Below are 15289 nucleotides of genomic sequence, written 5' to 3'. Positions count from 1 at the left end.
GTTCAGAAAGTCTGGTTCATATACCAGATCCCAAGAAGTTACGTGGAAGCCTGACTAGCTTCCTTAGACACTATCATGTATGGAAACAAACCTACTGGTACAGCCTTCCACAGCTAAATTCTAAGACCCTCCCAGCAGATGGGCTCATATGATGAACAAGGTGCACAGCAAGCAGCACCTGAAGTTCTACAGTGCTGGCGAGGTTAAAAGAAGCCTTTGCAAGTGTCTAGGAGAGAATATGGAAACTTCTACCAGGCAACATGTCATCTCCTGCCACGGATGAAATTTCTGAGATCTCTTTTATACACTGAGTTCTGGCCATTCATGGAGGAAATAATCTGATAGGAGTAAAAAGAACAAAACAACCAACCACCAAAGCATTTAACCCTACATACTTGATTTCATCCACTCCTTTCACTATTTTAAAAGTGTTTTAAAGTGTGGATTTCATTTTTATTCAGGTACGGGGAGGCCAACGTTCAGGAGACAACTACCACTGAAAAGATAGTTTGTTAAAGAGTTGGGGATGTGCCCCACCACCAGGGAGGCCACAGAAGGAAGCACCGGGGTGGGTCAGGAGGCAGAAGGCACAAAGGAAAATGTGGGCAGGAGTCTTTATTGTGGTTCCCACTGGAGGGAATGGGAGAAGCTGGGCAAGCAGGTTTAGAATAGGCTAGTTGGAATGATTCCAGTGGGCTTTGGGGCATAGGGACTATCCCTAAGTTGTCCTATACCTGGCCTTGGGGTGATTAGGGAAGGGGAATAGTGGCCGTGAGTGTCAGAACCATGAAGGAGGTGGTTGGAGGTAGGTCGTCTGGATCACCTGGCTTGCATACAAAAGGCACACTTGGCAAGCCAGTTCTTACTACTACTGCTAGGAATTGGCTAATCCCGGGAGGGGCAGTACTTCTGGGGTCAGAAAGTCCCCAATATACCAAAGCATTAAAAAACTAGAAAATGTGGTTATTACAATAAGGTCCAAGAGAGCTTCACATCTGGTGATATCTGGAGAAGCTGACAAAGCTAAGCAGATTAGAATTTTGTTTGGTCACTGATTCACGGAGCAAGCCAATCTTGTAGACGGAGCCAAAAACCTCCAATGCACTGAATCATTGTCCCCGCATGACTGGGAGACGCAGGGTAATGCTGGCTAATGGAGGGATATCTTTTGAGTCTTCTATGAAAGGCCTGAAAATCACCTCTGTAGGATTCTATAGTACGGTAAATATGAACGCATGCAAGTTGTGAGAGGAACCTGGAATGAAAACGAATTGCCTCAGTGCTTATCAAAGTAATTTCCATGGCAGAGGTCTGATGATTCTTGCTCTGCTACACCCACATCAAGTGAACAGAGCCAGGGACGTTCAACATTCCAATTGCGTGACTCATTCTGATTCTGTGGCTACCACATGACTTCCTGATAATTTGGTTTCCTACAGAGGATGCCCACATGAGAGGAAGTACTGGTCAGGTTGATGTGAATATCTAGTCTATTTGGCAATTATAGCTCTCATGGCAAATTAATATATTTCCATTTCTGCTTTTTAAAAAAATCTCTTTTTTTGAAGTGCCTTACAGTAATTATAATTGAGAAACAACAGGTAAAATAATTGATAGTGCAAGGAGATGCTATAGGTGAAAAACATCTCTATAAGCTGCATATTACCAGGTCGAGGTAATAGTCTTCTTTTTCACTGACACAGTGAAGAAAAACCTCAGTGTTTTTTTCTTTTGTTAGGTTTGGAAAAGTCAGGAGCTGTATCTTTCTAGTTGGTTTACCATGAAGTACGAGGGGCTTCCTTATGAATAAGCTGCCCAGCAATAACATTATAGATCCTTGAAAGTCAACTTGCCAATTACTGCAGCAGATATACCAGTGTTCTAAATGCGTCTTATTTCAAAGAGAACTCAATTTCAAAAATGCAACATCTTGCTATGCTAATTAGATAATTTCTGTCTGTTGCACAAATGGTGACATAGAAAAATAAAAGTTGCCACAAACTTTCCCGAACCCAAATCAGAATCTGCTGCCCAAATGGCTTTCCTTTCTTGTAGTAGCTTCACAATCCTCCCCTGAATGAAGAAAGTACAATATGGGAGTATGTGTTAAAAGTTAAATGTTTAAAGTGAATCAAAATGGAGAATATATAGACAGCTAAAATCCTAAAGATATTCAATATAGCTCAAATTTTTATTTTTATTTTTTATTTTTATTTTTTGAGATGGAGTCTCGCTCTTGCCCAGGCTGGAGTGTGGTGGCGCAATCTTGGCTCACTGCAACCTCCGCCTGCCGGGTTCAAGTGATTTTCCTGCCCCAGCCTCCTGAGTAGCTGGGATTACAGGCGCACACCACCACGCCCGGCTAATTTTTTGGTATTTTTAGTAGAGACAGGGTTTCACCACATTGGCCAGGCTGGTCGTGAGCTCCTGACCTCAGGTGATCCACCCGCCTCAGTCTCCCAAAGTGCTGGGATTACAGGCTGAGCCACTGCACCCGGCCAGCTCTAATGTTTATATGACTAAAGGAAAATAGGAACAGAAAATAATTGTACTTTCTACTTACTTATGCAGTAGATGTACACGTCGTATTTTTTTTTTAATTAAACTATCAAATCAAAAGTCCTGTCACGCTATTTAGAAACAGTTAAAGTATTCTGGATTAGATAAACCAAGCCGGTTTAACTTAGGTTTTTGTTACTGTCTCTGCCTATTAAAGAGCTTTACAATTCCAGAGGGAAACAAAAATAAGCTAGAACATACCTAGTCTTGTAAGAAGCCCAAACATTTCATGTTGCTATGCTTTGTCAAGCCAAAACTATCTCCCGTATTCATTAACAAAATGTTAATTCTTTCAGCATTGAAATGGTTGCTTCTTGTTAAAGAGAAAGTAAAATACGCTATAAGTTATGATAAAATATTTTCCTACCTTGTAGTCATATATTCAGCTCTATGACCTGCAGGAAAAAAATTTAAAGTAAGTAAACTGAAAGGAATCAGCAGAGTGTATGTGGTACTCTTTTGTATCTCCTATCCGGTATTTTAAAACACTGAGTTTGTAATAACTTACACGTTTTTATGGCAGAAAACATGAGGATAGCATATGAAGATAGACACATAATTCAGTGTAAACATTTCATAAAATCTATACATAAAATTTAATAAATTCTATAGATTTGAGAATCATGTTTCACTTGGCAATTTGAGGCTGTGTTTTTTTTTTTTTTTTTTTTCAGAAAAGAAACAAGAATAGCTGCTTGATCATAACTGTAAGCCCAAAAATGAAATACAAATAAGACATATCCAAGATTTAGATGTTAGTTATTCTCTCTGTTTTGACTGACACTTGTTAGCGAGAAGGATGGGTTCAAATACAGTTGGGAGGGTTCAATTTTCCTTAGACTAAGTTGGTGTTCTTTCTATAATATGAATCAGGGGACTGGAGAGAAGCTGTATTCTGTAATCAGAAATGACATTTGCGAATATTAAAGTACAAGGACATTAAATGATACTACATTCCACCAACTTGTAAGCTAAAAGCCTTTCACAGAGTTCTCTGTCCATTAAAACATCAACTTCTTATACATTTGGGTTTCTTGACTTGTTTTAAGTAACAGGGCTGAATTTTTGTAGGGCTCCGACAATCTGCAATAATTTCAAGTTTGCATGTGTTTATCGGTTGCTTTGTACATTTAGGGCGGAGTAGTGGGAAGGAATGTGGGAAACATTGAACCATTCAGCTGGTTTGTTTGCAAAATAATGACATGGTCCTGAAACAGCTTGAAAATATAGCTGGCAGGGGATGGTCACGTTGCAGCACAAACAGCTAAGCTCAGCCTATCATATCATAATGCAGTGATTCAGATTTCTAGGGCAAGGCCAACATGACAATGGTAAAGAAAGCTGGCTTGTTGGGAATGGTGAACCAACACTTCCAGGCTGCAGTAGAGCCTTTGACTCTATTATCTCCTCTTGAATAACAAATAACATAAAGGATTTGGTTAATATCTATTGATTAAATAGGGTGAAACAGTTAAAATCTGAGACTACCTTTCTTCACATAGGGCCAGGCCACAGTAAAAATGTTGGCAGAATGAGTTCATGGACATGACTTGAAGTGGGGATGAAGGGAAGGGAAGAATCTCCTCTTCCTCCTCTTCCCAGTTCTACTTATTTAAGTTATAAGTCCCTTCCTTTTGCTGGCCTTCTGCTACCTTGGAGGAGAAGAAAAAGGTGAAGGTGTACATAGAACTTCAGAATAATTTATAGCTATTCATGAATGGGAGTGAAGGTCTACTGAGAAGTAGAGTGGGCAGATGGTGAGCTGACTGTGGTATGTGGTGCCTTATGGGATATCCTAATGGCAGTGTTCGGCAGCAAGCTGGCTATACAGGGTTAGAGCACAGAGAAAAGACAGGGCTGGAGATAAAGATGTGAGAGTCACCACCATTTAGGTTGTGTTGGGTCCATACGAGCCACGTAAGATCACCCAGTGTGAGGCAGTAGAATGTGCAAAGGGTTGAGGGTAGAGAAACTGTCTGGCTTGTGTTGTATTATGTTGTTATGTTGCATACTTTATGACAGCATTAAGTCTAATTAGGTATGATGCAATATATATTAGTAACAACAATAAAAACAGCAATGATGTCTAATATTTATTAGACACCATTATAAGCACTTTATATTACATATATTAACTCACAATTTTCACAACGACTTTATGAGGTAGCTTCTATTGTTATCCTTATTTTACAGAAAAGACTGAGCATATAGAAAAGTGACTTGCCCAAGGTCACGCTATTAGTATGGGGTGGGTGTGGCACTCAGGTCCAAGTTTGTTTTAATCCCAGTCCTGAGATCCCAGGAACTATAATGTACTAGCTCCCAAGCACTATAATGTACCACCTTTAAAAACGTAAGTCTTTTTTCCTGGCAAATACTTTGAAAGATCCTAGAAGAAAGGTAGGTATTATGGCTTACAATTCTGTCTGCCTCATATGCCTAAAGCCAAATACAAAATACTGAATATTTAAATAAATTTAATAAATTCTATAAATATGTACATTATTAAATTAATATCTATAAATGTAAATTTAATAACATAGGTAATCACTTTCAAGTGATTCAATAATGATGCCAATGAGAATTCCTTAGAAATGAAATGTGTTATAACTTTGAAATTCTGCTATTTTTGTAACAATATCCTAACAAATTATTCCCTAGATTTAGAAAATGATATGTAAAATGCTTAAAATTATTTTGCTCCATCCATCCATAGTTAATAGTATGAGATAAAAAATTAAAAACCTATAAAAGATACATTTTGAATAATGAACCAAGAGCGTGCTTTGCAAGAACTATGATTCACAGTATAACCACACTACCACATCCATCGTTTTTTCAGCTAATAGTCCTGAGTGTGTCTCAACTGATGAATGAGGTTTTATTTTTTAATCAGTATCATCATTAATAGATCAATAACACACAAGCTTAGAAGACTCTTCTTCCCAGAGAAATGTGAAAGCTTCCAGCAGTCTGAGGATTAGATTTCAATCATTTTCTTTGGAAAGCTACTTAATTATTAAAAACAACGGACCACTCCTTCCCCTCGCCACACCCCCCAACATATAAGCCATTTTGAAGGAAAAAAATAACCCAGGCTTAACTTGTTCTTGGTTCAAACATTTTTTTTCAGCTACTCTTAAATTTCACTCGAGAATTATGAAGTGAATTATTTTTCACACCTAAATGCATTTTATCTCCTACATATAGTTAATGGGATAACCAAAATACAGTTTGGTGGCAATTTGATATTTTAAAAAAGGAGATAAAATACTTAAAATGTGTATGGCTCAAATGAGACACAGGCATCCTGGATTTGCTCCCTAATGAATGACTGATGAGAACTCCTGGCATTACTTTCCAGTCCTTTTTCTTCCTTAAGAATACCAACTACTGCAGTGCTTTTCTAAAAAACCATAATTACTCACATTCAGCTTCCCTTTTGAAAGTATACTTGTACTCCTACTCAAAGACAGACAATGGATTGTATGAGGATAATCTATTAAATTCCTTTGTCAGAAACCTTATGCCCAGGGCAAGAAGCAATAAAATATGGAGCTCAGCTCCTAGTATCAGATTTTTTATTTAGCAAAATCGCACTGATATTTGCACCCCCTTAACTCCAAATGCTGCACACAAAGAAGCCAATGTGAACATTAAGGCTCATTACTGAAAAAGAAAAAAAAAATCAGTGCCTCAGTTTTATAGATGTATATCTCATTTACTGTGGTCAATTTAACTTCTATGATTTAAAAACAAATGACATCACAAAAAGATACAATGGTGTTGCTGAGGGATGAAGAAAATGATAATAATGAGTTTGGTCTTAACAACTCATTGCGTGCTTCTTTCTATTTCAGTAGTTTTCAAAGATTTGGAATTCTGAATTTTGACAGTGCCACTTTAAGAGCCCAATCTAGTTGCTTCACAATGTTGTAAATCAAAGAACTTACTGGGCCATTGGCAGCCTACCAAAAAGCGAGCAGTAAGGCAGGCCAAACACATGTCTGTAGTTACAGATTCAGCTGTGTACGAGCAACTGCTAAATCTTCGGGTTAGGCTCTATTTGTTTTACTATGAAGGCAGTTTTTGCAGCGGTGAGTCTAGTATACTTCAGAGAGGTGATTTCTATATAAAAAGTCAGGACTGTCCCCAAACATAACCATTGAATCCTGTATTAGTAACCCTATCACACCAAATCTGGACTCAGATTCCTCCATAAGAGCTCACCATGGGATTACTTCACTATGTGATGGGCGCCATTAACTCTCCTGGTCTCCTTTGATGTAGCCTATTAACATGAAGAGGGCTTGCACAGAAAGCCAGCAGGCTTATAATGGTTGAGTTAAAAGGTGGGGCATGTCTCCCATGCTCAGCTTTTCTCTGGGCAAATTTGTCAGTGTCATATCCAGGCAGTGACCAGCAATTGGTGTGCCACCCAGCCTGCAAAAGGGGCAGGGCTAGGAAGCAGAGATGTCTGCAACCAGTGGGCAGAGGCTAGTGTGCCTGCTGCTGATGGATGAAAGCTATCCAGTTTCTTCTGCAGCATAAATGGAGTCCTGTGAAGGTTTTATACACGTCAGCACAGCTTGTGTCCCTGGTATACCAGAGCCCGTTGAAAAAAATTCCAAGATAAAGAAATCCTGAGCTGGGCACGGTGGCCCATGCCTGTAATCTCAGCACTTTGGGAGGCTAAGGTGGGTGGATCCTGAGGTCAGGAGTTCGAGACCAGCCTGGCCAACATGGTGAGACCCCTGTCTCTACTAAAAATACAAAATTAGCTGGGCGTGGTGGCAAATGCCTGTAATCCCAGCTACTCAGCAGGCAAGGCTGGAGAATCACTTAAACCTGGGAGGTGGAGGTTGCAGTGAGCTTAGATTGCACCACTGCACTCCAGCCTGGGCGATGACAGTGAAACTCCATTTCAAAAAAAAAAAAAAAGAAAATTCTGGCTTGCAGTTCACAAAGTATAATACAGATTTATGCAGTTCAGCAGCTAAAGACGGAATTTGGCATGTGGACTCAATAAATTGGCTAGAATATAGCCCCATCCAATAATGACATGTAGAAGAATATTAACCATTGGGGCTTTCTCTCTAGGAGACACAAGAGAATCCATGTTGAATAGGTACCATAAAAGTTTCAGAATGTGGCCCCAAGCATATTAACACATGTGTCTGCAAGCAGTGCCAAGAATGAATTCCCCCACTACTTCATGCTCTCAAACACAATTTCTAAAGTGGTATCCATCCTCATAGGGTAGGACTTTGTGCCTATAAGCGTTCATCTACACTTAGGATAATTTATGCTTTGGGCCTGGCAACTGACCTTGAGGGCATCACTTGAAATATCAGGCATTTGTGAAAAATTGAAAAAAAAAAAAAAAAAAAAAGACCTTACATGACACTGTGAGGGAAAAAAGAAAAAACAGGACACAATTATAAGAAAACTATTCAAAGATAAAAAGACTTTTTTTTTTTTTTAAAGTTCAAACCTACAGAAGAGTTAAAAGAGCAGTACAGGAAGTATCCTTATCCCCTTCATGTAGATTTTCCGGCTGTTAATGTTTGCCACATTGACTGTACCTTCTTTCTCTCTCCCTCTTTTTTTTTTTAGAACCATTTGAAGGTAAGTTGCAGACATCATGACACTTTAGCAAGCATTTCTTAAGAATAAGAATGTTCTTCTTTATAATCACAATACCATTATCATATCTAGGAAAATTAACACTAATTCAATAATATTATTTAATATACAGTCTGTATTTCAACTTCCCTAATTGTTCTTAAAATGTCTTTCATAACTTTTGCTTTTTGATTCAGTATCTAATTTAATCTAGTGTGTGAAGGTTCATACATTGTATTTGGTTATTTTATTTTTTAATGACACTTTTTAGTAGTTTGCGTTGTTTTTTTTTTTTCCTTCTAGGTGTAATTGGCCTTTTCATCCTAACTGTGTCAGACATGGTTCTTAGGTCATGATAACCTTTCTCCATGTGGTCATTCCCTGAGGATGATGAGTTCTTTGGTGGAAACCAGGAGATAAGGTGATAGAAACTTTATGGTTAAGGAAGGTTCCAGAATTGTGGGAGGCAAGAATTTAGGTCTAAGAGGCGCAATCTCTTTTTTGACCTGAGTTACTCACACAACTCAGTCCTCTCATTTCCCACTCCCTTCCACATTCTCTTTTACTTTTTCTAACTTCTGGCAGGGTCTAGTGTGAATAAAAGATAAAGTTACAGACTATGAAGCACTTAAGACAGGAACTTGGCTTGTATTTATTTTTTTCCTTTTAAATTTCATAAAGACAAAGAGAAACATTAACATTTATACAGTCCCCTTTGCCTGTATTCTCATGCCTCCCCTCAGTTTCCTCATTTGTAAAAACGGAGAAATTATTAGTGCACAGTAAAATATACAACTCAGAACAAAGCCTGGCACAGAGAAAGCCTTTCAAGTGTTAGCTGTTGCTGTTGTTTTGTTACTATTATTAGACATAGCAATCTACTTATACTTTAAGATTGTTTCTCAACTACAGCCAATGCCTGCTGAAAGAAAAAAATCACCCAAACTGGTTTAACTGGTTTCCAGAGTCTAAACAGGCAACAGATGGAACAACAAATACTCGCCCATTAAAACAAACAGGGGTGGGGTTGGAAGGGTGCAGAAGTCTGAGAAGGGAAGGAAGAAGAGACTGGGGGGTCAGCAGGTAGGGGAGGGGCAGTGTTTCCAGACTTTTCTACGATCAGGAGCACCACACTCTGAAGATCCCTCCCTAGGAGCTCGGTATTGACTTTCCAGCCCTCCCTAGATTTCACTACGCTTCCTCAAGGTTAGCACCATGCTTTAGAAGAAAATCGTGCCAGGAGAACTTAATCATGACATATACAAACAAAACCAAATCTAAACACAGAGTGTCCTCTGCTTCTTAAAGCACAAATATACAATTCATACTCTTTCTGGAATATATACATGATACGATGTATCATCCAGGTCATCTTCCCATACATTTTGGATAACTCACCTTCTCCCAGGGTCCTCTGCAGCAAGTCATGTTTGGCTTGAAGTTTTGTGATGAGATTACTGCCTTCCAAATATTCTCTGAGTTTCTGCAAAAGGCAAGAATAATTTTTAAATCTTTTTTTTTTTTTGAGACAGAGTTTCATTCTTGTCACCCAGGCTGGAGTGCAGTGGCGCGATCTTGGCTCACTGCAACCTCTTCCTCTGGGGTTCAAGCGATTCTCCTGCCTCAGCCTCCTGAGTAGCTGGGATTATAAGCGCCCGCCACCACACCTGGCTAATTTTTCTATTTTTAGTAGAGATGGGGTTTCTCCGTATTGGCCAGGCTTGTCTTGAACTCTTGACCTCAGGTGATCCGCCTGCCTCGGCCTCCCAAAGTGCTGGGATTACAGGCGTGAGCCACTGCACCCAGCCTAATTTTTAATTTTTAAAAATTATTCAATGTCAAGGAACTTTTCATAGATCTAAAATCCAGCCACTTTGATCTTCTAGACGCCAGAAACTTGTTACTTGAAGTGTGGTCTGCAGACCAGCAGCATCAGCCAACCCTTGGGAGCCTAGGAGAGATGCACACTCTCAGGTTCCTTCTGTACCAGACCTCTGGAAATAAGAACTGGCACTTTCACCAGCTCTCCTGGTGACATGTATAGATATTAAAGTTTAAAAGTACTGTGTGTTTTTAAATTTTAGAGTTGGGGTCTCACTCTCTTGCCCAGGCTGGAGTGCAGTAGAATGATCTCAGCTCACTGCAACCTCTGCCTCCTAGGCTTAGGCGATCCTCTCACCTCAGCCTCCCAAGTAGCTAGGACTACAATTGCACATCATTATGCCTGCTGGCTAATTTATATATCTATATAAATATAAAAACATATATAAATATATATAAATATAAATATATATATATGTTTTGTAGAGACAGGGTTTTGCCATGATGCCCAGGCTGGTCCCAAACTCCTGGGCTCAAATGATCCTCCCACCTCAGCCTCGCAAGTGTTGGGATTAGAGGGGTGAGCCCCTGTGCCCAGCTAAAAGTACTGTTTTATACCAGTCCTCTAACTAACTAAATAACTCCTAACTAACTAACTCCTAAATAACTCCTAAACTCTTTCCGAAACTGACTGAATCAGGAACTCTGATGGTAGACAGGAGTCTATTTTAACAAAAGGAACCCCAGATGGTTCTGATGTGACTATAGAAGTGGCACTTGGGAATCCTAGATCTGAGCTCTGTAGAGTGGCTTGGGAAGTGGCGGGCACACCATGAAGTAGAACTGTTCAGTTTCCTGCTGGTTGGCTCTTCTCTTGGCGATGCTGGGTTTACTCAGGTAGGTTTCAGAGACAGTGGACTTCACTGATTCTGTGGAACGACTGTGCTGGAAGCATTCAGAAACATCATAGTCCTCGATGGTGACCATATCTTGTATCGTCTGCAAGGTGGCTTCAGTCGTTTTCTTAACCTGGGAATAGAAATACATTTCTCACGTTAGTACATTATTTCATGAATCCCACAAACAGGGAGAGTCCACTCTGTCAGGTAGAGATGAGGACACAGGGCCTGCCCCCGCCAAATTCACAGTCTATTAGGAGAGAAACAAAGGTAAAAAACACTCCATATCACCAGTTTAAGAGAATGATTTCTTCAAAATCATCCTAAGGAGGTTATCACTTTATATTTCAGTCCTTATAAATCTCATATCTGGGTACTCTCTCAATTACTTTTTTGTCTTAACATTTTCAATTGAAGTCAAACTACACATAGAAAAATACACAGACCATAAGTGTGCAGCTTGATGATGAATTATCACAAAGGGAGCACACCTATGTGAGTAACAATCAGACCAAGAAAAAGTATATTATGAGACTGCTTGTGCCTCTCCCAATTACCATACACCTATACCCTCTCCTTCTCCATTAACTGGACTTCTAAGATTAGATATTAGCTTTGCCCTTTCTTGCTCTTTACATGAATGAAATCCTACAGGATGTATAATTTTTGTCTTCCTTTTGCTCAACGTGAGATACACTCATTTCTTGTGAGTATATTTCACTGCTATTCATTGTAGGAATACACTGTAATTCATCCATTTTACTATTGATAGATGATTTTTTTTAGTTGTGGGCTATTTTGAATAATGCTGCTATAAACACATTTTTGTTTAGTCACACATATATGAATAGAATTGCTGCTTAACTGTTTTCCAAAATGATTGTAATTTACATTCTCACCAGCAGAGTGGAAGAATCCCTGCTATTCCACATCCTCATCAACAGTTGGTATTGTCAGTCTTTCTTTTAAATTTAAACAATTGTGTTGGGTGTGCAGTGGTATCTCACTGTGGTTTGAATATGCATTTCCCTGATATATGAGATTGAGCACATTATCATATGTTTAAGGCAATTTGGATCTCCTTAATTGAGAACACTTTGTTAAAATCTCTTGCTCCATTTTCTAAGTTATGAGTCTTTTTCTTAATGATTTGTTGAGATGGATATGAGTCTTTTTGTAGTTGTATGTGTTGCAAATATTTTTCCCCACTGTGCTGTGGTTTTTCCCTCTTTCAATAGTGTCCAGATGAACAAAGATTCTAATTTTAATATAATGCATTTATCAATTCTTTCCTTTTAGTGTTTTTTGTGTCCTATTTAAGAAATATTTTCCTATCTCATAGCCATAAAGATACTGCTTTATGTTATCTGTTAGGAGCTTATTTATTTATTAATCTCCTAGTAGTCTTTTTATTCACTGAAGGTCATATTCTACCTTTGCTTATCAAAGTATAATGTAAATTGATAGCTTTTTCCTTCTGTCACACAATGTAAAGAGTTTAGAACACCTTAACTTCATTTACTCCTCCTGATTTATATGCTATTTTTGTAATATATTATAATAGAATATATATAAATATTAATATATAAATTTAAGACATTATTATTTTATGTAGTCAAGATTCACTTAGCATCACCCATGTATTTATTACATTCTTTGATGTCGAGTGCTTATATTTTAAGTGTACCCTTTAGAAGTTCTTTTTAGTATGTGTCTGTTTTGTTGACTTGACAACGTCTTTTATTTCACCTTCATTTACTAAATATCTTTTTCTGTGCAGCAGTTATTTTCTTTTTGTATATTAGAAATATATCACTGTACTTTGTTGTGGCTTCTATGTTCCTGTTGAGTGAGAAGGTTACCATCAGTCTGTCATTGCTTTGAATAAAATCTGCTTTCTTTTTCCAGCTGCTTTAAAAATTTTCCATTCATCTTTGGGTTTCTACAATTTCACTGTAATATATCTAGGTAAGGATTTAAAAAATATATTCTGCCTGGAATTTCTTGGACTGCTTGAATTTGTGTGATGTTTTTCATAGGTTTTAGTAAGTTTGCAGCTTTTATCTTTTCAAATATTGACTCTATATTCTTTAATTTTTCTTTCTGAGCGGGGCGTGGTGACTCACACCTGTAATCCCAGCACTTTGGGAGGCTGAGGCGGTGGATCGCTTGAGGTCAGGAGTTCGAGACCAGCCTGGCCAATATGGTGAAACCCTGTCTCTACTAAAAATACAAAATAGCTGGGCGTGGTGGTATGTGCCTGTAATCCAGCTACTCGGGAAGCTGAGTCAGAAGAATTGCCTGAACCCAGGAGGCAGAGGGTGCAGTGAGCTGAGATCGTGCCACTGCACTCCAGCCTGGGCGAAAAAGTGAGACTCTGTCTCAAAAAAAAAAATTTTTTTTTCTTTCTGGGAGTTCAATTAGTATATTAGACATTACTGTGTTCTCTATATCTCTTATTCTTCTTTTCCATATTTTATTATCTTTTGTTTTTGATGCTGCGTTTTTATTATTTCTTCTGATTTGTCTGCTTTCATGATTTATTTTTTAGCTCTACCTGATGTTAAACTCACCCACTGCTTTCTTAATTTTGGTTATTTCTCAGTGCTAGAATTCCTATGTAGCTCATTTTCAAATCTGTTATTTTAGTGCTTATGATTTCCTGATGAAATCTAAGCTTGGCTTTTAAAAACCTCCTTGAACATTGTAAATAGTTCTTTTGTCATTTATTTCTGATAATCCCAATATCTGGAGTTCCTGTGGGTGTGTCTCTATTGTCTATTATTTCTTCTGGCTATCACTCATGGTTTCTTATCTCCTCATTGTCTAATTATCTTTGCTAGATATTTTTTGTAGAGTTACTTGAGGTCAAAGGTGAGGTTATCCTCCAAAGAGAATGTTTATTTTCCCAAACCATTAGGGGCACTAATAGCTCAGAATCTCTGGATTTTATTACTGTTCAAAATATTGGATGCTCTTCCTTTTGGGAAGATATGGTTCCCTGTGTCACAGGTTTCAGGCTTGGCCATGCATCTTGTCCTAGAAAATGAACTTTGAAAGAATCAGTTGAGTGACCCAGTCCATCATTACAGGAAGTGGAAATCTTTTCAATTACTTTTTTTTTTTTTTGAACAAAATAATGTTTGGGAAAGAAACAGTAGCAATTAGTACTAGTTTGGATGCTTAGAAGGTCATGTGATGGAATTAATATTAAAAAAAGAAGGGAAAGAAATTTAATAGACAATAATCATTCCTGGGGTTATGCACAATGCAAAGAGTAGATACTGTTGGAAAAAAAGCATATTAATGACCATTAAAAATACTGTAATTAATTACTTTAAGGAGGTCATAATCAAATATCTATAGACTGAATTAAAAGAGTCACCATCCTACACTAGTCAAATAGGCTCTTGTAGCTTGTAGACAAATTTCTAATGACAGTATCACGCACAGGTTTTAAAAGCACTGTATTTCAAACAAACAGATGTGAAGATGGTATACTCTGAGAAAAGTGTACTTGATGACTCTGTTGGGAACAAGCCCCCCAAAATCTGGCCATAAACTGGCCCCAAAACTGGCCATAAACAAAATCCCTGCAGCACTGTGACATGTTCATGATGGCCATAACACCCACACTGGAAGGTTGTGGGTTTACCGCAAGAGGGCAAGGAACACCTGGCCCGCCCAAGTCGGAAAACTGCTTAAAGGCATTCTTAAGCCACAAACAATAGCATGAGCGATCTGTGCCTTAAGGACATGCTCCTGCTGCAGTTAACTAGCCCAACCTATTCCTTTAATTCGGCCCATCCCTTCGTTTCCCATAAGGGATACTTTTAGTTAATCGAATATCTATAGAAACAATGCTAATGACTGGCTTGCTGTTAATAAATATGTGGGTAAATCTCTGTTTGGGGCTCTCAGCTCTGAAGGCTGTGAGACCCCTGATTTCCTACTTCACACCTCTATATTTCTGTGCGTGTGTCTTTAATTTCTCTAGCGCCGCTGGGTTAGGGTCTCCCCGACCGAGGTGGTCTCGGCAGACTCAAAATGTGGCTCTGGTAATGACAAACACAATATCAGGATATATGAAGAGCCTTCATAAAATTGTGAAAATGAGAAAAATATAGTATTTCTAAATTAAAAGTTTTATATAATGTGATTTAAAATATTTGTGCATAACTAAATTAATAGCTGAATACTGAAGGTAAATATTTGACTATGTTATCTACATCTCCATAAATTTTATATTTATAATACTTTTAAAAAATGGAAGCCTTTACTTGTGCCAATATTTAGTAATTAAAATACTACAAAGTAAATGCTGTTATTTCTTTATTCAATTAAACTCTTGAAATTGACAAACATGTAAGAAAACAGGCAAAACT

General features: G+C 38.2%; 1 protein-coding gene across 4 annotated transcripts in view; it reads right to left on the bottom strand.

Moving 5' to 3' along the window:
* SRGAP1 (SLIT-ROBO Rho GTPase activating protein 1) overlaps positions 1-15289 on the bottom strand; it is a 317518-nt gene that overhangs the window by 72265 nt on the left and 229964 nt on the right. For all 4 annotated transcript variants that reach the window (NM_020762.4, NM_001346201.2, XM_024449096.2 and 1 more), the window contains exons 9-11: positions 10837-11034; positions 9583-9667; positions 2927-2954 (exon numbers count right to left, since the gene is read on the bottom strand). In NM_020762.4, the coding sequence (NP_065813.1) occupies positions 2927-2954; positions 9583-9667; positions 10837-11034 (311 nt within the window). The remainder of the gene's footprint in view (positions 1-2926; positions 2955-9582; positions 9668-10836; positions 11035-15289) is intronic.

This window comes from Homo sapiens, chromosome 12 (assembly GCF_000001405.40).
Source record: "Homo sapiens chromosome 12, GRCh38.p14 Primary Assembly".
Lineage (NCBI taxonomy): Eukaryota > Metazoa > Chordata > Mammalia > Primates > Hominidae > Homo > Homo sapiens.
Note: the sequence above shows the minus strand (reverse complement) of the source record. Positions and strands in the feature narration are given on the sequence as shown.